The sequence below is a fragment of the Homo sapiens genome, chromosome 11, assembly GCF_000001405.40.
Source record: "Homo sapiens chromosome 11, GRCh38.p14 Primary Assembly".
Lineage (NCBI taxonomy): Eukaryota > Metazoa > Chordata > Mammalia > Primates > Hominidae > Homo > Homo sapiens.
In genome coordinates, this window is record NC_000011.10 from 64,978,532 (window position 1) to 65,001,678 (window position 23,147).

General features: G+C 50.0%; 1 protein-coding gene across 3 annotated transcripts, besides 3 other annotated features; it reads right to left on the reverse strand.

Moving 5' to 3' along the window:
• Positions 1–9,413: 9,413 nt before the first annotated feature.
• Positions 9,414–18,440, reverse strand: BATF2 (basic leucine zipper ATF-like transcription factor 2). Of its 3 annotated transcripts, NM_138456.4 has the most exons (3): positions 18,345–18,440; positions 15,917–16,018; positions 9,414–11,281 (listed from the first exon to the last, which is right to left on the reverse strand). In NM_138456.4, the coding sequence occupies exons 1-3, from the start codon at positions 18,381–18,383 to the stop codon at positions 10,598–10,600; spliced, it is 825 nt and encodes a 274-aa protein (NP_612465.3). In that variant the 5' UTR covers positions 18,384–18,440; the 3' UTR covers positions 9,414–10,597. The 3 variants fall into 3 exon arrangements, with proteins under 3 accessions (NP_612465.3, NP_001287737.1, NP_001287736.1); NM_001300808.2 differs by lacking the exons at positions 15,917–16,018; positions 18,345–18,440 and adding an exon at positions 11,662–11,746; NM_001300807.2 differs by lacking the exons at positions 15,917–16,018; positions 18,345–18,440 and adding an exon at positions 11,543–11,746.
• Positions 11,133–11,660: an enhancer, noted in NCBI's record as "H3K4me1 hESC enhancer chr11:64757136-64757663 (GRCh37/hg19 assembly coordinates)". NCBI's record gives its function as "activates a minimal SCP1, AML or CMV promoter by ChIP-STARR-seq in primed H9 embryonic stem cells {active_cell/tissue: H9 hESC(primed)}" and the evidence as "EXISTENCE:reporter gene assay evidence [ECO:0000049][PMID:30033119]".
• Positions 17,839–18,339: an enhancer, noted in NCBI's record as "H3K4me1 hESC enhancer chr11:64763842-64764342 (GRCh37/hg19 assembly coordinates)". NCBI's record gives its function as "activates a minimal SCP1, AML or CMV promoter by ChIP-STARR-seq in naive and primed H9 embryonic stem cells {active_cell/tissue: H9 hESC(naive and primed)}" and the evidence as "EXISTENCE:reporter gene assay evidence [ECO:0000049][PMID:30033119]".
• Positions 19,584–20,722: a transcriptional cis regulatory region, noted in NCBI's record as "candidate enhancer chr11.3163 targeted for multiplex CRISPR interference". NCBI's record gives its function as "positively regulates BATF2 gene expression with high confidence in K562 cells {active_cell/tissue: K562}" and the evidence as "EXISTENCE:mutant phenotype evidence [ECO:0000015][PMID:30612741]".

Consider the following 23,147-nt stretch of genomic DNA (forward strand, 5'->3'; position numbering starts at 1 on the left):
TTCGTTTTCACACTGCTGACAAAGACATACCTGAAACTGGGAAGAAAAAGAGGTTTAATTGGACTTACAGTTCCACATGGCTGGGGAGGCCTCAGCATGGCGGGAGGCAAAAGACACTTCTTACATGACAGCAGCAAGAGAAAAATGAGGAAGACGCAAAAGAAGAAACCCCTGATAAACGCATCAGATCTCGTGAGACTTACTCACTGTCACGAGAATAGCACGGGAAAGATAGACCCCCATGATTGAATTACCTTTCCCTGGGTCCCTCCCACAACACGCGAGAATTCTGGGAGATACAATTCAAGTTGAGATTTGGGTGGGGACACAACCAAACCATATCACCTATCTACATTATACATTCATATATTTGTGTATATACACACACACATATATGTTGGGTGGACTGTAGGTGGGTACCTTTTTAAATCTCCATTTTCCAGATGAGAAAGCTCAGTCTTGAAGTTGAATGAGGAAATAATAGAGCTGAGATTTGAACCTAATCCTGTCTGGCCCTGGAGCCTAAGCTGTTTCACCACTAACCGCTATGCTCCACTGCCTCCGAAAGCATAGGCTTTTTTTTTTTTTTTTTTTTTTTTTGAAACAGAGTCTCGCTGTCGCCCAGGCTGGAGTGCAGTGGCACGATCTTGGCTCACTGCAGGCTCCATCCCCTGGGGTTCACGCCATTCTCCTGCCTCAGCCTCCTGAGTAGCTGGGACTACAGGCGCCTGCCACCACGCCCGGCTAATTTTTTTTGTATTTTTAGTAGAGACGGGGTTTCACCGTGTTAGCCAGGATGGTCTCGATCTCCTGACCTCGTGATCTGCCCACCTCGGCCTCCCAAAGTGCTGGGATTACAGGCGTGAGCCACCGCACCCGGCCAGCATAGGCTTTTTAAAACTACTCATTGGCCGGACACAGTGGCTCATGGCTGTAACCACAGAACTTTGGGAGGCCGAGATGGGAGAATCGTTTGAGGCCAGGAGCTCGAGACCAGCCTGGTCAACATAGCAAGACCCCATCTCTAACAAAAATTTTAAAAAGTAAAAAATTAAAAAATAAAAGTATTCATTATGTGTCGGCCAGGTGTGACTCACGCCTGAGAATCTGGTACATTGGGAGGCCGAGAAGGGAGAATCACTTGAGCCTGGGAGGTCAAGGCTGCAGTGAGTTGTGTTTGTGCCATTACACTCCAGCCTGGGCCTCCCTGTCTCAGTAATAATAATAATCATAATCATTATGTGCCACACTGGTTGCTATCATTGAGGGAGGGAAGAGGGTAGCAAGACACAGTCACACAAAAAGGAAGATGACAGAAAAGCACAGGACGGGCATGGAGAGGAAAGCAGGTCACTTTTTTTTTTTTTTTTTTTGAGACGGATTTTTGCTCTTGTTGCCCAGGCTGGAGTACAATGGCATGGTCTTGGCTCACCACAACCTCTGCCTCCTGGGTTCAAGCGATTCTCCTGCCTCAACCTCCCGAGTAGCTGGGATTACAGGCATGCATCACCATGCCCGGCTAATTTTGTATTTTTAGTAGAGACGGGGTTTCTCCATGTTGGTCAGGCTGGTCTTGAACTCCCAACCTCAGATGATCCGCCTGCTTTGGCCCCTCAAAGTGCTGGGATTACAGGTATGAGCCAACGCGCTGGGCCTGCAGGTCACTTTTATCTTGGAAGATTACAGGAGGCTTCCTGGAGAAAGGAGCATTTGAAAAGGAAGGATGGGGCCGGGCGCGGTGGTTCACGCCTGTAATCCCAGCACTTTGGGAGGCCAAGGCGGGTGGATCACTAGGTCAGGAAATCGAGACCATCCTGGCTAACACGGTGAAACCCCGTCTCTACTAAAAATAGAAAAAATTAGCCGGGCGAGGTGGCGGGCGCCTGTAGTCCCAGCTACTCAGGAGGCTGAGGCAGGAGAATGGCGTGAACTCAGGGGGACAGAGCCTGCAGTGAGCCGAGATCGCGCCACTGCACTCCAGCCTGGGCGACAGCGAGACTCCATCTCAGAAAAACAAAAAGGAAGGATGGGGGCAAATTCTGGGCATGAAGGAGTGATAAGGGAAAGACTATCAGGCTGAGAGCTCTGGGTGCACAAGAAAACACAGGCTGCAAAGGCCCTCAGAGGTCATCTTGCCCATCTCTCATTGTCCACCAACCTACTGATGGCTTCCAAATTTATTTATCCAGTCCTGACATTTCCCAGACTCCAGACTCTTATTTAAACCAGTTGGATGTCAAATAGGTATCCCAAATTTAACATGGCCAAAATAGGGCTCCTGATCCCCACCACCAAACCCCAAACTGCCCCTCTTCCAGCCTTTCTTGGTTTTTGGCACCACCAACCATCAATTGCTCAGGTCCCAAATCTCAGTCATCCTTCCTTCCTCCCTTTCACCACACTCAGTCCATGAGCATATCCCATCAGCTGTATCTGTAAAGCACACCCTGAATCCGACCACTTCTTTTCTGTCAGTTTTTAAGTTTTGTGAATACACAGTAGGCATGCATGAGATGTTTTGAATACAAGCATGCAAGGCACAATAATCACATCATGGAGAATGAGGTATCCACCCCTTAAGCATTTATCCTTGGTGTTACAAACAATACAATTACACTCTTTTAATTATTTCCAAGTGACAATTACATGATTATTGACTATAGTCACCCTATTATATGCCATCAAATAGTAGGTCTTATTCATTCTTTCTACTTTTTTTTTGTATCTGTTAATCATCCCCACCTCCCCCCACCCACCCCCAATCCTCTTCCTAGCCTTTGGTAATCATCCTTCTACTCTCTATCTCCATTAGTTCAATTATTTTGAATTTTAGATCCCACAAATAAGTGAAAACATGTGATTTTTATCTTTCTGTGCCTGACTTATTTCACCTAACATAATGATCTTCAGTTCCATCCATGTTGCAAACGACAGAATCTCATTCTTTTTATAGCTGAACAGTACTCCATTGTGTATATGTACCACATTTTCCTTATCCATTCTTCTGTTGATGGACACAGGTTGGTTCCGCATCTTGGCTATTGTGAACAGTGCTGCAACATGGGAGTCAGATATTTCTTCGATATACTCATTTCCTTTCTTTTGGATCTATACCCAGCAGTGGGAGTGCTGGATCATATGGTAGCTCTATTTTTAGTTTTTTGGGGAACCTCCAAACTGTTCTCCATAGTGGTTGTACTAATTTACATTCCCACCAACAGTGTTCAAGGGTTCCCTTTCTTCCACATCCTCGCCAGCGTTTGTTACTGACTGTTTTTGGGTATAAGCCATTTGAACTGGAGTGCGATGATATCTCATTGTAGTTTTCATTAGCATTACTCTGATGATTAATGATGTTAGCACCTTTTCATATGTCTATTTGCCATTTGTTTATCTTCTTTTGAGAAATGTCTACTGGAATCTTTTGCCTCCCCCCACCTTTTTTTTTGATTTATTTTTATTTTTATTTTTTTTGAGATGAAGTCTTGCTCTGTCACCCAGGCTGGAGTGCAGTGGCATGATCCGAGCTCACTGCAACCTCCACCTCCTGGGTTCATGCAATTCTCGTGCCTCAGCCTCCCGAATAGCTGGGATTATAGACACATGCCTCTCAAAGTGCTGGGATTACAGGCACCTGCCACCACACCTGGCTAATTGTTGTATTTTTAGTAGAGACAGGATTTCGCCATGTTGGCCAGACTGGTCTCAAATTCCTGACTTCAAGTGATCTGCCTGCATCAGCGTCCCAAAGTTCTGAGATTACAGGTGTGAGCCACTGTGCCCAGAATTGTTGCCCATTTTTAAATCAGATTATTAGGTTTCTTTCAAGAAAATAGGAAGAAAAATTTTTCAAAAAAGATTATTAGATCTTTTCCTAGAGAGTTGTTTGGGCTCCTTATATATTCTGGTTATTAATCCCTTGTCAGATGGGCTGACCTCTTCTTACCACCTCACTGCTTCCATTCACACCCCTGAACAATCTGATCTTTTTTAAATGTCGGGCTCCCTGATTCATGGAAAAAAGGCAATGCCCTTGCAGTGGTCTGTATGATCTGGCCCTTGGTTACCTCTCTGACCTTATCCCTGACCAACTGACCATCTCTGACCCTCCTTCATTCCCTCCCTCCAGCCACACCAGCCCCCTGGCTCAAATGTTTCAGGCTCACACCTGCCCCCAGGCCTCGGCACTGGCTGTTTCCTCTGCCTGGAACTCATCTCCACCTGGCTAATTCACTGCCTTCTTCAAGACCTTGCTCAAATGTCCTCTGCCTTTTTTTTTTTTTTTTGAGACGGAGTCTCACTCTGTCACCCAGGGTGGAGTGCAGTGGCGTGATCTCTGCTCACTGCAACCTCCACCTTCTGGGTTCCAGAGATGCTTGTGCCTCAGCCTCCCAAGTAGTGGGGACTACAGGCATGCGCCACCATGCCCTGCTAATTTTCTTTTTTCTTTTCTTTCTTTCTTTTGTTTTTGAGATGGAGTCTTGCTCTGTTGCCCAGGCTGGAGTGCAATAGCATGATCTCAGCTCACCGCAACCTCTGCCTCCTGGGTTCAAGCAATTCTCCTGCTTCAGCCTCCCAAGTAGCTGGGATTACAGGCATGTTCCACCATGCCCAGCTAATTTTTTTTGTATTTTTAGTAGAGATGGGGTTTCATGTTGGCCAGTCTGGTCTGGAACTCCTGACCTCAGGTGATCCGCCCACCTTGGCCTCCCAAAGTGCTGGGATTACAGGCGTGAGCCTCTGTGCCCAGCTGCTAATTTTCTTTTTGTGTGTGTGTATTCTTAGTAGAGAAGGAGTTTGAGTTTTGCCATGTTGGCCAGGCTGGTCTTGAACTCCTGGCCTCTAGTGATCTGACCACCTCAGCCTCCCAAAGTGCTTGGATTTGAAGCCACTACACCTGGCTTCAAATACTCTCTTCCTATTGAACTGACGTTGACCACTCATTTTATTTTATTTTATTTTATTTTATTTTATTTTATTTTATTTTATTTTATATTTTATTTTATATTTTATTTTATATTTTATTTTATATTTTATTTTATTTTATTTTATTTTATTTTATTTTATTTTATTTTATTTTATTTATTTTATTGAGACTGAGTCTCGCTCTGTCACCCAGGCTGGAGTGCACTGGCGCGATCTCGGCTTACTGCAACCTCCACCTCCCAGGTTCAAGTGATTCTTGTGCCTCTGCCTCCTGAGTAGCTGGGATCACAGGTTCCTGCCACCACACCTGGCTAATTTTTGTATTTTTAGTAGAGACGGTGTTTTGCCATGTTGGCCAGGCTAGTCTCGAACTCTTGACCTCAAGTGATCCTCCCACCTCAGCCTCCCAAAGTGCTGGGATTACAGGCATGAGCCACCGCGCCTGGGCGACCACCCTATTTTAAATTGTACCTTCTCCACCCTGACCCTCTCAATTCCTCTTTTCTTGTCTTACCCCTCTTGACCCAGCTTCCCTATTAAATATAAGCATTTTTGTCTGTTTTGTTCTCTTCTTTATCCCAAATGCCTAGGATAGTGTTTGAAAAGAGGAGCTGAATATATTTTAAATGAATTTAAAAATCAGAGGCTGGGCACGGTGGCTCACGCCCGTAATCCCAGCACTTTGGAAGGCTGAGGTGGCTGGATCAATTGAGGTCAGGAGTTCGAGACCAGCCTGGCCGACATGGTGAAACCCTGTCCCTACCAAAAATATAAAAAATTAGCTGTGCGCGGTGGCAGGCACCTGTAATCCCAGCTACTCAGGAGGCTGAGGCAGGAGAATCTCTTGAACCCAGGAGGCAGAGATTGCAGTGAGCCAATATCGTGCACTGCACTCCAGCCTGGGCAACAGAGCAAGACTCCGTCTCAAAAAAAAAAAAATCAGTGTACATCTCTGTTTAAAATTCTCCCACTCACGGCTGGGTGTGGTGGCTCACGCCTGTAATCCCAGCACTTTGGGAGGCTGAGGCGGGCAGATCACGAGGTCAGGAGATCGAGACCATCCTGGCTAACACGGTGAAACCCTGTCTCTACTAAAAATACAAAAAATTAGCTGTGTGTGGTGGCAGGCGCCTGTAGTCCCAGCTACTTGGGAGGCTGAGGCAGGAGAATGGCGTGAACCCGGGAGGCAGAGCTTGCAGTGAGCTGAGATCGCACCACTGTACTCCAGCCTGGGCAACAGAGCGAGACTCCATCTCAAAAAAAAAAAAAAATTCTCCCACTCACACAGGAAGAATCTCACATCCTTCTCATGGCTTACACAATTTTTCTGGCCTCTTCTCAGACTTCATCTTTCCTTTTCTCTTCCCTGATTCTCCTCCTCCTTTCTTTTCTCTTCTTCTTCTTCTTTTTTTTTTTGAGACAAGTCTTGCTCTGTCACCCAGTGTGCAGGGGCATGATCATGGCTCACTGTAGCCTTGACTTCCTGGGCTCAAGCAATTCTCCCATCTCAGCCTCTCGAATAGCTGGGACTACAGGTGCATGCCACCACGCCCAGCTAATTCTTTGAATTTTTAGTAGAGACAAGGTCTTGCTTTGTTGCCCAGGCTGGTCTCAAACTCATGGGCTCAAGCCACCTCGGCCTCCCAAAGTGCCGGGATTAGAGGTGTGCACCACTGCGCCCAGCTGGCCTACTCCTTTCTGTTCCTCTAACATGTTTAGTGCTTTTTCTTTTTTTTTTTGAGGCGGAGTCTCGCTCTGTTGCCCAGGCTGGAGTGCAGTGGCGCCATCTCGGCTCACTGCAAGCTCCACCTCCCGGGTTCACACCATTCTCCTGCCTCAGCCTCCTGAGTAGCTGGGACTACAGGCGCCTGCCACCACGCCCGGCTAATTTTTTGTATTTTTAGTAGAGACAGGGTTTCACCGTGTTAGCCAGGATGGTCTCAATCTCCTGACCTTGTGATCCGCCCGCCTCGGCCTCCCAAAGTGCTGGGATTATAGGTGTGAGCCACCGTGCCCAGCCTACGTTTAGCGCTTTTTCCAGACCCGGAGTTTTTACACATGGTATTGCCTCTGAGTGGCATGTTCTTTCCCTAGATCTTTGCATGGCTGACTCTCTCTTGTCATTCTCATCTTGTCAGGTCTCATCCTGAATGACACCTCCTGAGAGACCCTTCCCTTGAATTCTCTATTTTTTTTTTTTTTTTGAGGCAGGATCTCACTCTGTCATCCAGACTGGAGTGCAGTGGCTCGATCATGTCTCACTGCAGCCTCGACCTCCCTGGCTCAAGCAATCCTCCCACCTCAGCCACCCAAGTAACTTGTTTTTCCGCCCAAGACGGAGTGTTGCTCCATCGCCCAGGCTGGAGTGCAGTGGTGTGATCTCGGCTCACTGCAACCTCTGCCTCCCGGGTTCAAGCAATTCTCCTGCCTCAGCCTCCCGAGTACCTGGGATTATAGGCACCCGCCACAATGCCCAGCTAATTTTTGTATTTTTATTAGAGACAGGGTTTCACCATGTTGGCCAGGCTGGTCTTGAACTCCTGACCTCATGATCGCCTGCCTTGGCCTTCCAAAGTGCTGGGATTATAGGCGTGAGCCACCGCGCCTGGCCAAGCATTCTTTATTCAGCTTTTCAGTAGTCCATCACATGAGTGTACCAGCATTAATTGAATCACTCCCATCTATTTGTTTGAGGGTGGGGTAGAGTTTTACCTTCTTGGGTCATATCTATTAGCATGTGCTGCCCCTGAAGTCTGGGCCTGCAATGAGAATCCAGGAAGGTTGAAGGCTGGGTTGCCTGCAGCTAAGGGCTCCTGATTGTTGAACCAAGTCTATATAGTTTCCTAGCTATGTGACCTTGGACTTATTACTTACTACCTCTGGACCTCAGTTTCCCTTTCTCTCTCTTTCTTACAGCTCTAGCTCAAAGACAGTTTCCTCTTCTGAACAGTGGGGTTGAGAAGCATACGTCACAGAGTTACTAGAGGCATCATTGAGTTAATCCAAGTAAAATAGCACAGAGCCTACTATACTTTAGGGTATACAGATACAGCACGACCATGCTGTCCTCATCCTCCACTGAGTCCTCGTGCCCAGAGTATGTTGAATCCTGTCCCAGACTCCAGCCCACCTCTAACCAACAGCACCTTCGCTTCCCTCCCACCTGTTTGCTTTCCCTGAATCGCTGGTGACCATGGCTCTGCTGCCATCCACAGCCCTGTGACTTCCCTTTGCTATGTGAACCTGGCACAATGGTTACTTGTATGTGTCCTCTTGGCTGGGCCACAGTGCCCAGATATGTGGTCAAACATTATTCTGAATGTTTCTGTGAATGTGTTTTTGGACGAGATCAACATTGAAGTTGGTGGGCTTTGAATAAAGCAGGTTGCCCTCCATAATGTAGGTGGGCCTCATCTAATCGACTGAAGGCCTGAATAGAACAAAAAGACTAACCTTTTCCAAGCTAGAGTAAGTTCTGCAGCTGGTGGCCTTTGGACTTGAACTGCAACAGCAGCACTTTCCTGGGGCTCCAGCCTGACAATTCACCCTGAAGAATTTGGACTTGCCAACCTCCATCATCACATGAGCCAATTTCTTAAAATAAGTCTCCCTTGGCAGGGCGTGGTGGTTCACGCCTGTAATCCCAGCACTTTGGGAGGACAAGGCGGGCAGATCACTTGAGGTCAAGAGTTCGAGACCAGCCTGGCCAACATGGTGGAACCCCATCTCTACTAAAAATACAAAAATTAGCTGGGCGTGAGGCTGGGTGTGGTGGCTCATGCCTGTAATCCCAGCACTTTGGGAGGCCGAGGCAGGCAGATCACAATGTCAGGAGATCGAGACCATCCTGGCTAACATGGTGAAACCCTGTCTCTACTAAAAATACAAAAAAAAAAAAAAAAAAAAAATTAGCCGGGCATGGTGGCAGGCGCCTGTAGTCCAGGAGACTGAGTCAGGAGAATGGCGTGAACCCGGGAGGCGGAGCTTGCAGTGAGCCGAGATTGCACCACTGCACTCCAGCCTGGGCGACAGAGCGAGATTCTGTCTCAAAAAAAGGAAAAAATTAGCTGGGTGTGGTGGTGGGCACCTGTAATCCCCACTACTTGGGAGGCTGAGGCAGGAGAATCACTTGAGCCCGGGAGGCGAAGGTTGCAGTGAGCCGAGATTGCACCATTGCACTCCAGCCTGGGTGACAAGAGTGAAACTCCATCTCAAAAAAAAAACAACATTAAAAAAAAAATCTCTCTGTCTTCACACACACACACACACACACACACACACACTCTATTGGTTCTATTTCTCTAGAGAACACTGACTAATACACCTGCGCAAGTCCGTCTCATCTCTGAGCCTCAGTTTCCTCATCTGTAGTATTGGAGGGAGATTAATTAGCTGGTTCATGAGGGGTTGCCCATCTCTGTTATTCTCTCTTTTTTCAAAGACTCTGTAGGTTACAAAGAGAGGTTTAAGTAACTAGGCAAAGCAGAAAAGATTGCAAAACACTTTATTTCCATCACATATGTGCCAAGACTTGTGTTCTGTATCCAGGAGTGTGTTAGATACTAACATAGTGTTTCATTTACATGTGTGTGAAACCTGGGTGAAGAGCCAGGGTTTCTCTCCCCCACCCGCCTCAGAGTGCTTGTCCTGGAATCAGAGTGTAAAACCCCCTCTTGAAGCAGACACCAAAACTGAACTTCCACCCGGTCATGGGCCCTGCTCTTCCTGCTGTCAGCCTAGTCCAAAGAGCAATGAGGGAACTGCTTAGGAGGGGTCTGAGGGTGATGAGGGCCTGGGGGCCACACAGGGGTGGGTGCTGTCAGGTACAAGCCCATCCCTGCCTGCAAATAACCTTGCACAGGGTCCTTCCTCATTCTTTCCTCTTCCTTTTTGTTTATGAGATGAATGGCTCTTCTGCTGTGGCTTTAGGGGCAGTGGGGAGGCAGGGAGCTATTTGGGAACAGCCTGGAAAGCTGACCCTGCAGAATCTCCCAGAAGCCTTGGTGTGGCTATGGGTACCCAGGCTGTAGAAATCCCAGATGGTCCTCTTCCAGACCTCTCCCCAACTCCAGCTCACAGTTTCAGCTTCTTGGCACTGAAAACACTACTAGGGGAAGCAAGAGTCCACTTCAGGGCTTCTGCTTGGCCTCTACCCACCAGGGCTTGGACTCTGGACCTGCCCCAGCTAGGTTGGGGTTTCTGGGACTGCATGGCTCTGGCCCTGGAATCACGAAGCAGTGGGGAGAGCCCTTCTCTGCTCTGAGCATGCAAACCTTCTCACACCAGCCCACGGTTTCCAGGATTTCAGCCCCTAGGATGCCTGGGCCAGGACAGGAGAAGGAGGAGCAGAGGGTGGTGTTTCGGGCTCCAAGAAAGTCTTCGTGACCTTGGACTTGTCACTTGGCTTCCCTGAGCCTCAGTTTCCTTGTCTGAAAAAGTGGAGTGATAATCTCGATTTCTCAGGTCAACTGTGAGGTTGAAATAAGATATTGGTGGTGACAGGGCCTGTCACAGTGGGAGGCATCAGTGGTGGCTTCCTTTTCGACTGTGAAATCCTGGGCCAGCTGGTCAGCCACGCAGGGCAGCACCCAGTAGTGAGGGAGGAGAGGCCCGTGTGCTAAGGCTGCTTCCTGAGCCCAAAGAAGGGGCCAACCCAGCTCCGAAGACCAGGTTAGAAGTGGACTTGAGCAGAGGAGAGCAGAGGAAAGGCCAGGAGAGGGTGAGGGCTGGGATCCACAACCAGCCCTTGCCAAGTGGCTGCTGAGAGAGCAGGTTTGTGCTCCCTGCTCTGCAGACGTGCAAGCCCCAGGGCAGAGGAAGGGTTGTCGGGAGAGGACCCCAGCTTCCCTCTGGTGGGATGCTCCAGCTCGAGGGGCTGTGGAGGGGCAGTTTGGGCCGTGAGGCTGGGCTGGAGGGCACTGAGCTTAGAGGAAGACCCCTGCAGGCTGGAACCAGTGTGCGAGGCAAACAGGAGAGGGCTGGGGGACAGCTGGACAGGAGGTTCAGCAACCACAGCGGGGCCAAGGGACAGTGAGGGCAGGGGGCACTGGAGGAGGCTGGGAGAATCATGAGGCTGTGGACCTGGAGAGAGCGGCTGAGCTGGGTAACAGGAACCCGGGGTCTGGAACAGCTCCAGCTGCTCCCGGCAGCCATGTTGTCCCTGTGGGCCAGGGCCCAGGAGCCCCTCAGCCTGGTCCCAGCAGCCCAGGAGCCCTGGAGCTGAGCAGGAGGCACAATCCATGGGGCACAGGCGCTCATGCACGTGCAGGGTCCGGCTCCACCACGCCAGCTCGGCCTGCAGGGACTGGATCTCCTTCCGCAGGGCGAGGTTGTCTTTTTCCAGAGACTCGTGCTGCTGCAGAGAAGCAGATGGGCGGGGAGGGGAACCTCAGCCAGTGTCAGGGGCCCCGCATGAGCCTTAGCCCCTTCCAGGGTCCTCAACTTCAGGAGAAAGATGCCACCACCATTGGAATAGCCAAGTGGGGTCTCTTGGCCACTCTCTGGCCAGCCCTTCATAACCACCTACCAAGTCTCCCCTGTCCCACCCTCTGAAGGGGGCTCAGATCCGCCTGCTGTCATCCCACCACTAGTGCCCTGAGCCGGTGCCATTTCTCACCTGGGATATGCACGGGCCTCCAACCCGTGTGTCCCCCAAACCACCTATTCTCTTGCCCACAGGAGCCATTCAGCAACCATGTCATTAATTGCAGGTTAAAGCCCTTTAGAGGCACCCACCAAATTCCCTGTGGTAGAATTCCAGGCCTGTGTAGTGGCTGCAGCTCAGACCTCCGGTCTCCTCTCTCTCGCCTTCTTTCTTGCTCCCCTCCCTTCCTGACCCTCACATGAACTCTGCTTCCCGGCCACATTTCCTGTTTCCTCTGCCTGGACACCCTTCCGCCGCCCTTCTCTGTGCAAATCCCAACAGGGCCTTCCCGTGGCAACCTTGATGTCATTCTGTCCTAGATTGCTTATTGCCACTGCCCTTTTGAGGGCCCAGAACTCGCCCCTACGAGCACTGTGGGAGGATTCAGGGGATTGTTTTACAGGTTGACAGCATGAGTGTGTTCGATTCTGCATCCCTGAATCAGCATTTATTAAGTTCTGTTCTGCTGAACGCCGGTTCTGAGAACCCCTGAGACACAATCAATGTGCAGTTCTAAATAACCATTTATGATGACAGTAATGGTAAAAATGCAGAAAGAATTTTATATCCACATCTCACAGGGCTGAATAAATTGAACGACTTCCTTCAGTCCCCCACCCCCTTTTCTGGACACTTTGAAAGAAGAAGTTGCAAAGGTGTTTTGCATAAAAATGTGGTTTTGGCCCTGGACTCAAAGTTCTTTTTTTTGAGATGGAGTCTGGCTCTGTCGCCCAGGCTGGAGTGCAGTGGCTCGATCTCGGCTCACTGCAAGCTCAAGCTCCCAGGTTCACACCATTCTCCTGCCTCAGCCTCCTGAGTAGCTGGGACCACAGGCGCCCGCCACCACGCCTGGCTAATATTTTGTATTTTTAGTAGAGACGGGGTTTCACCATGTTAGCCAGGATGGTCTCGATCTCCTGACCTCGTGATCTGCCTGCCTCGGCCTCCCAAAGTTCTGGGATTACAGGCGTGAGCCACCGCGCCCGGCCCTGGACTCAGCCTGAAAGCCACCAGCCCCATTGCCACGCTGGTTTCTACATGTGGAATGATGAATTTTTTTTTTTTTTTTTTTTTGAGACAGAGTTTTGCTCTGTCGCCCAGGCTGGAGTGCAATGGCATAATCTCGGCTCACTGCAACCTCTGCCTCCCAGGTTCAAACGATTCTCCTGCCTCAGCCTCCCGAGTAGCTGGGACTACAGGTATGCACAACCATGCCCAGCTAATTTTTGTATTTTTACTAGAGATGGGGTTTCACCATGTTGGTCAGGCTGGTCTCGAACTCCTGACCTCGTGATCCGCCAGCCTTGGCCTCCCAAAGTGCTGGGATTGCAGGCGTGAGCCAATGTGCCTGGCCGGAATGATGGACATTTCTAAAATGTATCATTAGGCCACCCTTCACCTAAATTCTCCAAAGGCTTCAACTCACCTCCAGGAACGGAGTCACTCACTCATTCATTTATTCATTCGTTTGCCACCTTCAGGAGGCTCAAGGAGTAACAATTTCAATTTCATCCCTTCCCTCTTCTCTGCTTTAGTTTTCCCAACAGGATTTAACACCATCTGACATCCTGACCACTCTAGGGACTTTTTGTTTGTGGGTCTGGCTTCCCCAGGAGAATATGAGCCCTGTGGGTGGGGCTGGGGTGGGCGTTTGTCTACTGTGTCTACAGCTCTATATCCAGTGCTTAGAAATGTGCCTGGCACACGGGAGACGCTCAATAAGCATTTCCAGAAGGAAGGAATAAACGGATGCGTGGGTCTCCTAGGCACCATTCTGAGTACCAGTCCTCACTCTCACCTGGTCTACAGGGTGCTGCTCCCCACGCCTGTGCCAGCACTGTGTCATTTGTCCGCAATGCGTTTTCTTACCTTCATCCTCTGGGAAAACGCCCATTTGTCCTTAAGCTCAGGCTTCATCGCCTTTTTTTGTTGTTGTTGTTGTTGTTTTTGAGACAGAGTCTCTCTCTGTCTCCCAGGCTGAAGTGCAGTGGCACGACCTCAGCTCACTGCAACCTCCACCTCCCAGGTTCAAGCAATTCTCCTGCCTCAGCTACTGGGATTGGCTAATTAGCTACCACATCCCTGTAATCCCAGCTACTGGGGCTGCCTAATTAGCTACAATGCTTGGCTAATTTTTGTATTTTTAGTAGAGATGGGGTTTTACCACGTTGGCCAGGCTGGTCTCGAACTCCTGGCCAACAAGTAATCCACCCACCTCAGCCTCCCAAAGTGCTGGGATTATAGGCGTGAGCCACCGCGCCTGGCTCATCTCCTCTTTAGACCACTCAATGCCACTACCTATGTGCTATGGACTCTATTGTGTTCCCTCCAAAATTTATGTGTTGAAGCCATAACCCCCGATGTGATTGCATTTAGAGATAAGGCTCTTAGAAGGTAATTTAGATTAAATGAGGTCCTAGGATAGAGGATCGGGTTCTAATCTGATAGGATTGGTGGCCTTATAAGAAGAGGGAAGGAGGCTGGGAGCGGTGGCTCAAGCCTGTAATCCCAGCACTTTGGGAGGCCGAGGTAGGTGGATCAATTGAGTCCAGGAGTTCAAGACCAGCCTGGGCTACATGGAGAAACTCTGTCTCTACAAAAAATACAAAAGTTAGCCAAGTGTGATGGTGCATGCCTGTAGTCTCAGCTACTCGGGAGACTGAGGTGGAGAGGATCGCTTGAGCCTGGGAAGCTGAGGTTGCAGTGAGCCAGGATCGTGGACTGCACTCTAGCCTGGACAACAGAGTAAGACCCTCTCAAAAAAAAAAAAGGAAGAGGCCAGGCATGGTGGCTCACGCCTGTAATCCCAGCACTTTGGGACGTGGAGGTGGGAGGATTGCTTGAGCCCAGGAGTTCAAGACAAGCCTGGGCAACATAGCAAGACCCCCATCACTATTAAAAAATAAAGAATATGAAGAAATAAAAAAGAAAGAATAAATAAATAATAAATGAATAAAAAATTAAAACAAAAGGAGGGGGCCAGGTGCAGTGGTTCACGCCTGTAATCCCAGCACTTTGGGAGGCTGAGGCGGGCAGATCACTTAAAGCCAGGAGTTTGAGACCAGCCTGGCCAACATGGTGAAACCCCGTCTCTGCTAAAAATACAAAAATTAGGTGGGCGTAGTGGCGCATGCCTGTAATCCTAGCTACTCAGGAGGCTGAGGCAGGAGGATCACTTGAACCCAGGAGGTAGAGGTTGTAGTGAGCCAAGTGGCGCCACTGCACTCCAGTCTGGGCAACAGAGTGAGACTCTGTCTCAAAAATGACAACAACAACAAAAATCCCAAAAAGGAGAGGAAGGGAAAGAGATCACTCTGTCCTCTCACATGCACTGAGAGGCCATGAGCACACAGCGAGAAGGCAGCCACTTACAAGTCAGGAAGAGCACCCTCATCTGGAACTGAATTGGCTGGCACCTTGATCTTGGACTTCCCAGCCTCCAAAACTGTGAGAAATAAATGTCTATTGTTTAAGCCACTGTTTATGGTATTTTCAGATGAGCATGAAGCTCAGTAAAGGAAGCAACTTGCAACTGGGACTGGAAACCCTGCCCATTTTAACCCTGAACCAGAGTTCTCACAGTATGGTCTTGGTCACCTCCTGAATTCTGACCCCCAGGTGATTAATCACAAATCACCGTGCAGGTCCCTGGGCCCACCTGGCCTCATGAGGTGGGACCTGGCAGAGGAAGAATAATCCACTTTTTTTTTTCTATAGACAGGGTCTCAATCTGTTGCCCAGGTTGGATGCAGTGGTACAATCATGGCTCACTGCAGCCTTGAACTTCTGGGCTCAAGCGATCCTCCTGCCTCAGTTTCCTGAGTAGCTGGGACTACAGGTGTGCACCATCACGCCCAGCTAACTATTTTTTAATTTTTGTAGAGACAGAGTCTCACTATATTGCCCAGGCTGGTCTTGAACTCCTGGGCTCAAACAATCCTCCAGCCTCAGCCTCCCAAAGTGCTAGGATTACAGGTGTGAGCCACAGTGCCCAGCCTGGAATCTGCATTTTAACCAGTGTCTCAGCTGGCCATTGTGTTGGGGTCTCCCTATTTGCCTCCACTTCCTGTCTTCCTTCCCCTAGACTGCGGACACCTTAGGACACGGCTGGGCTGAGGATGACCCTTTGTGTCCCTGGAGCCTGGTGTGTACCTGGCACATGGTTTGTACTCAACACCCAGAACTTTCCAAATGTCAGCCACAGGATCCTTTTCTCATCCCAAACTCAGGTGACCTAGAAAAATACAGGAGTTTGGGGGAGGTCTGCTCAAAGGTGGGATGGAGAAGAGGTGGCTGGGCCAGTAAGTGGAGCCAGAGACAAGGAAAGGGGTTAGGGGTTGTCCACACCTGGTGCAGGGCGTCTGCCTTGTCTGTGTGCTTCTGCCGGCTTCGCTGGGCGGCTGCCCGGTTCTTCTGCTTCTTCAGCTGCCTTTGTTGCTCCTTGGGGTCCTGTGGGGCATGAGGCAGAGGACTCAGGGGGCCCAGCCAGGCCTTGTGCCCTCCGTCCTGGCCCGCCATTTGTAAAGCCAAGTCTTTCCCCTTGAGTCAAGTTCCCAAGGGTCTTTTATCTCCCAGAAGCTCCCTTGGCACCCACACCCCCTATAGCAGGCACTGCACACCTTGTTGGAACGCCAGCCTCACCCCTGTGTCCTGCTCACCGCTCATGTGGAGGGTGGGAGGGCAAGCAGGGAAGATGGGAAGCCTGAGATTCAAACTCAGACAGAGCCAACTTCAAACCCCACATTCTTTTTTCCTTTTTTTTTGAGACAGAGTCTCACTCTGTTGCCCAGGCTGGAGTAGTGCAGCGGCTCTATCTTGGCTCACTGCAAACTCTGACTCCCGGGTTCAAGCAATTCTCCTGCCTCGGCCTCCCAAGTAGCTGGGACTACAGGCACCTGCCACCATTCCTGGCCAATTTTTGTATTTTTAGTAGAGATGGGGTTTCCTCATGTTGGCCAGGCTCATCTCAAACTGGTCTTGAACTCCTGACCTCAGGTGATTCACCAGCCTCGGCCTCCCAAAGTGCTGGGATTACAGGTGTGAGCCACCGTGCCCAGCCGAGCCCCATATTCTTGAACCCAATCGCCCCATCCCTGCAATGGAAGCACCACAGCAGAGGGTTAAAGCCCATGCGGCAGGCAGCCCAGAGCCGGCGTGCCATAAAGCTCAGCTTCCATTCTTCTCATTGCCATGATTTCCACACCAAGGTGTGAACTTTCCTAACTGTGAGCTCCATGAGGGCAGATGTGGTTCTCTGTGCTCATGCCCAGCTCAAGCCCAAAGCAGATATTCACTTACTCAACAAACATGTATAAGCACCTACTATGTTCCAGGCAGTAAGCTAGAGGGACATGATAGCAAACAAAATACACACAAATCCCTGCCCTGAAATTGCTCACATTGTAGTGGGGTGGTAGCGAAGGATGAATGAATGAAGGGTTTATTCCGGTGGAAGAGTGGACTCAAAGGTTGTGACCACCTTGTACCCTGGGATCAATGAAACTTAGATAAAATATTTTACCCAAATGTCCAGAGCTCTGCAAAGTCAGAGCAAGAGGGACTGTTGGAGAGCTCACAGCCCAGCCCCCGCCCCCAAGTCTCTCTGGGGTATGTGTTTTGAGGGTAAGGACCTCAGGCAAGGCCCTGGCCGCCCTGGCTGCAGATTCTGAATGCTCCTAGGCTCCTGCTCCATATGCTCCCTTGGGCCATGTCCACAGCGGGCTCACTGTAGACACTGGGGCACCAAGAAACTAAAGGCTGAGACAGGACCCACGGTGAGTGAAGGGGGCTCCTGTGAGATAAGCAGAGCCTCCAAGGGAAACCATGGCCCAGGGAATTTATTTATTATTTTACTTTATTTTATTTTATTTTATTTTATTGAGACAGAGTCTCTGTCGCCCAGGCTGGAGTGCAGTGGCGTGATCTTGGCTCACTGCGACCTCCGCCTCCCAGGTTCAAGTGATTCTCCTGCCTCAGCCTCCTGAGAAGCTGGGATTACAGGCATGTGCCTCCACCACGCCCAGCTAATTTTTCTATTTTTAATAGAGACGGGGTTTCACCATGTTGGCCAGGATGGTCTCGATCTCCTGACCTCAGGTGATCTGCCCGCCTCAGCCTCCCAAAGTGCTGGGATTACAGGTGTGAGCCACTGAGCCCGGCCTATTTTATTTTATTGAGACAGAGTCTCTCTCTGTCACCCAGGCTGGAGTGCAGTGACATGAGCTCAGCTTACTGCAACCTCCATCTCCCGGGTTCAAGCAACTTTCCTGCCTCAGCCTCTCGAGTAGCTGAGACTACAGACGTGCCCTGCCACACCTGGCTAATTTTTGTATTTCTAGTAGAGACGGGGTTTCGCCATGTTGGCCAGGCTGATCTTGAACTCCTAACCTCATGTTATCTGCCGGCCTCAGACTCCCAAGGGGCTGGGATTACAGGCATGAGCCGGCCTGGGTTATTTGGAGAAGGAAGGAAAGGCTGCTGTGAGTGTAGTGAGGGGGGACCAGGTACGTTAGGAGAGAGCAAGTACACAGAGGCCAAGTTCTAAACCGAAGGCTGGATCTGCAATGTGAGAGCTGGAAACAACTCATTCCAATCCAATCCCGACTTCGGGGGAGGAAAGTGAGACCCAGAGAGGGGCATGCAGAGCCCTCTGTCACACTGCTCAGAGTATAGAGCTGGGACTAGGAGCTCCCGACTGCAGCCCTCACTGCCTGGGCACTGAGGACGGGATCCCAGCTCCCCTTCTCATCCCCGATCCCCAATCCCCTGTACTCACTGTCTGGGTCAGCAGCCCATTGCCCCCACAGAGGTGCATGGCTTAGGCGGGGGAGCAGAGTGGTCCCTCAGCAGCTGTGACTTCCCAGTGCCCTCTGGAGGCCTAAGGAAGTGGCAGCTCTTTAAATCCCCAGTGGCCACTCCGCCCCCAGAGGGCCAAGTTTCAGTTTCTCCTAAAGCCACCAGCTGCTCAGAATCCCTGGCTCAGGCTTGCTCACGTGGCTAGAATTTCCTAACATGAACTGGCCTTCCGGTTGGGCCCCTTCTCTGGAAAGAGGATGGTGGAGGGTGGAGAGGAGGGAAGACCAAAGGCCAGGTATGAGGAGGGTGTTCTAGGGGAGGGAGGACAGGCGGCCAGGGACTGAGATGAGAGAAGAAGCCAGTGGGGACCGATGCTCATGTGGGGTAGAGAGAGCCCTTGAGCTCTGGAATTGGGGGAACTCTGGATCACAGCACACATTGGAGCTGTCCAACTTTCAGAAAGTGACTCTCCTTCTCTGAGCCCTAGTTTTCTCATCTGGAGGATGGTACAACTACCCACTCCCAGGCTCATTGCAGGAACTAAGCCAGATAATACAACCACCCCCAAACCTTCTGAGACCACTATGGAAGCATGTCTGCAAAATTAAGCAATGGCTGTTGGATAGAACAGATGGATACATTACTGTTTTCATACAACAGACCATGAAGCAGTGGAAAGATTGATGTCCAGTGGTTAGGAGCCCAGCTTCCAAGCTATGTGACTTGGGTTCGTAATTTCATCTGTGTTTCTGTTTCCAAATCTGTAAAGTGGGGATAAAAACAATTTTGTTAGGCCAGATGCAGTGGTTCATGCCTGTAATCCAAGTACTCTGGGAGGCCAAGGCAGGAGGATTACTTGAGCTCAGGAGTTTGAGACCAGCCTGGGCAACATAGCAAGACCTTATCTATATTAAAAATAAAAAAAATAACTGGGCATGGTGGCACACACCTGTATTCCCAGTTACTCAGGAGGCTGAGATGAGAGGATCACTTGAGCCCAGGAGTTCAAGGCTGCAGTGAGCTATAATCTTGCCACTGCACTCCAGCCTGGGCAATAGAGCAAGACCTTGTTTCAAAAAAATTAATTAATTAAAAATTAAAAAATAAAGACCTAGCAAACCCTGAAGCCCCGGGCATACCTGCATGCTTGTTGTATCTCTAAGAGGGACACTTGGATGGGGCATCTGTTTGGGGGCCAGAGGGGCCAGTAATTCCTGTCCAAGAACAGCATGCATGCAGTATGTAGAGTCCTATGGTCTGGTGACTAGAGCATCTTGGAGTTGTACCTGAGACCTGAGGGCTCATGGCTGATGATGTGGTATCACAAGAATGGCAAATACAGATATGATCTTCTGATAGGTGATGGTGGCTGGAATGTTGTTTTAAAGAGTTCATGGACACCTCTGAGCTTAGTAAAAAAGAGTACTGCAGTTGATTAGCAATGTCTGCCACACCATGATCGATTAGTGATGCCTGTTATGGGCAGAGGTGTGGAGAGTGCAGTCCCCTGCTATCCCTAGAACCAGGCATAAAACAAGTCTGGGTTTCAGAGACAAAAGACTTGACTCTCCATCCTGGCACTCCACTCACCCAGTTTATCACCTGGAGCCTCAGTGTCTTCAAAGATATGCTGGTGATCACAAAGAAATGATACCTATTTGACAGTTGTTTTGAAGATGGGAAAGAATGAGATGAGAAGAAAGCTCTTGGGATATTGTAAAGTACTATGTGGCAAGGATTCCCCCTCCTGAAATTTGTGGTGTCATATTCTGGATTCTAAGATTATTAATGCAGGCTCCTAATTTAAAATGCCTGGGTGGGTGAGATTGGGCATAAGAGCTGGGCCTTGCCCTCCTAGCTTCTGAGGGGCCTGGGAGCAGAGGCGGAAGTGGGATGCCCCACGCAGTGAGGCCATCCCTGTTTCTCTGAATTATTGTTTCCTGGAAACCAGGAAGGCTGGGGCGTCTTGCCTGAGGCAGGCACCTGAAGGGCTCATTAAGCCAGCCCATGAGCTCCCCTGGGAGGATCTGCAGGCACCTTGTGCATGATGTGACTACGAAGAAACACCCGTGTGTGCTTGTGTGTGTGTGTGTGTGTGTGGAGGGGCTAGGCCTGAGTGTCCCACTCCAGATCCCAGCCCCTGCCCCAGACCCCCAGTCTTTCTTCTCCAGACCCTGGCTTCTGGCAGAGGTGAGACAGCAGGTGTAGCTCTTCCCAGAACACCACAGCCCTGGGAGAAGACCAAAGAAGGCAGCGTTTATGGCTCCCTGAGGAGGCAGCTGGGAGAGGGAGTGGCAGGGAGGGAGGGAGGTAGGGTGGGTAATGTTTAACTAGGAATGGCTGTGGGAGACTTCTCCCAGGCTGGTGGGACCATCCAATCTGACCTCGCCTTAGACGGTGTCTCAGTCAGCTCAGGCTGCTATAATGCAATACCAGAAACTGAGTGGCTTAATGACAGCCTTTTATTTCTCGCAGTTCTGAGGGCTGAGAAATCCAAGAGCAAGGTGCTGGTAGGTTTGGCTCCTGGCAAGGCCTCTTCCTGGCTGGAAGATGGTGGCACTCTTGCCGTATTCTCACACGGTCTCTCTGCCTTCTTATAAAGACACTCATCCCATTGTAGGGTCCCACCCTCACAACCTTATCTAAGCCTAATTACCTCCTGAAGGCCCCACCTCCAAATACCATCTTACCAAGGGTTGGCACTTCAGTGTGTGAGTTTGGGGGGGGAACACAAACTTTCAGTTCATAAAAGAGGGTGAGGAAACTAATGCCCAGAGGGGCAAGGTCACTCCACGGGAGGGGCAGAGCTGCAGGGAGAACACAACCTCTCTCTTCTAGGCCTCAGTCCTGCTCCACACTCTGCTTGGAAAGGCCTGGTCCATTAGTCCAGAGCCAGCAGCCCCAGTGGGTGGAGGGTTGGAGGCCTCCCAAATACCACAGCTACCAATGAGCTCCTACATGGCAGGACTGGTTCTTTGAAGGATCCCCAGTGCTTCAAACACTGCCTTCACGTAATAGATGCTCAATTAATGAATTAATTAATTAAAGTCCAGCAGGCAGCTTGCCACCCAGGAACCCCAAAACTTTCCTGAGGAAAGAAACTTTTCACTCATTCCCATAGGACCTGCCCTGGGTTCCTGGTGGGCTCCCCCCAACCAACTTCATCATTTCACCAATGAATAAACTGAATTATAGGGAAGAGAAAGTCACACCACTGTTTTGGGAGAAGCCAGAATGCCCTGAAGCCCTGTCCCTTTTTTTTTTTTTTTTTGAGACGGAGTCCCACTCTGTCACCCAGGCTAGAGTACAGTGGCACAATCTTGGCTCACTGCAACCTCTGTCTCCAGGGTTCCAGTGATTCACCTGCCTCAGCCTCCCAAGTAGCTGGAATTACAGGTGTACGCCACCACACCCACCTAATTTTTTGTATTTTTAGTAGAGATGGGGTTTCACCATGTTGGCCAGGCTGATCTCGAACTCCTGACCTCAAGTGATCTGCCAGCCTCAGCCTCCCAAAGTGCTGGGATTACAGGCGTGAGCCATTGCACGCGGCCTGTTTTTTGTTTTTTGTTTTGAGACAGAGTCTTGCTCTGTCTCCCAGGCTGGAGTGCGGTGGTGCGATCTCGGCTCACTGCAACCTCCGCCTCCCAGGTTCAAGTGATTCTCCTGCCTCAGCCTCCCAAGTAGCTGGGATTACAGGTGTGTGCCACCATGCCCAGCTAATTTTTGCATTTTTAGTAGAGACGGGGTTTCACCATGTTGGCCTGGCTGGTCTCAACCTTAGGTGATCCGCCAGCCTTGGCCTCCCAAAGTGCTGGGATTATAGGCGTGAGCCACCGTGCCTGGCCAATGGGGATAATAATAGAAGGATTTAAGTAATTTATGTAAAGGGCTTAGAACAGTGCACAGCCCACAGTTAAGTCACATAAACATCTGTTAAACTTAACAAAGGCACTCAATACATATCTGATTAATTTTTATTCACGTAACAACAGGCTTGTGTTTCCCTCCCTCCCTCCCTCCTTTCTCTCTCTCTCTCTCTTTCTTTCTTTCTTTCTTTCTTTCTTTCTTTCTTTCGATGGAGTCTTGCTCTGTACCCAGGCTAAAGTGCAGTGGTGGGATCTCAGCTCACTGCAATCTCTGCCTCCTGGGTTCAAGCGATTCTCCTGGCTCAGCCTCCTAAGTAGCTGGGACTATAGGCAGGCACCACCACACCCAGCAAAATTTTTGTATTTTTAGCAGAGACGGGGTTTCTCCACATTGGCCAGGCTAGTCTCCAACTCCTGGCCTCAAGTGATCCACCTGCCTCGGCCTCCCAAAGTGCTGGGATTACAGGCGTAAGCCACCGCACCCAGCCTTTTTTTTTTTTTTTTGAGACAGGATTTTGCTCTTGTCACCCAGGCTGGAGTACAGTGGCGCGATCTTGCCTCACTGCAAACTCCGCCTCCTGGGTTCAAGCAATTATCCTGCCTCAGCCTCCTGAGTAGCTGGGATTACAGATATGCAACACCACGCCCAGCTAATTTTTGTATTTTTAGTAGAGACAGGGTTTCACCATGTTGGCCAGGCTGTTCTTGAACTCCTGACCTCATGATCCTCCCGCCTCAGCCTCCCAAAATGCTGGGATTACATGCATCAGCCACTGCACCCGGCCGTAAGTGAAGTATTCTCCATGCAGCTGCTCATGAAACCTTCACCAGGAGGCAGCAGATATCTGTGTTAGAGGAGTCTCTCTCCCTTATTAGATGATCTAAGTTAAGTTACTACCAAGTCTAGAGTGCAC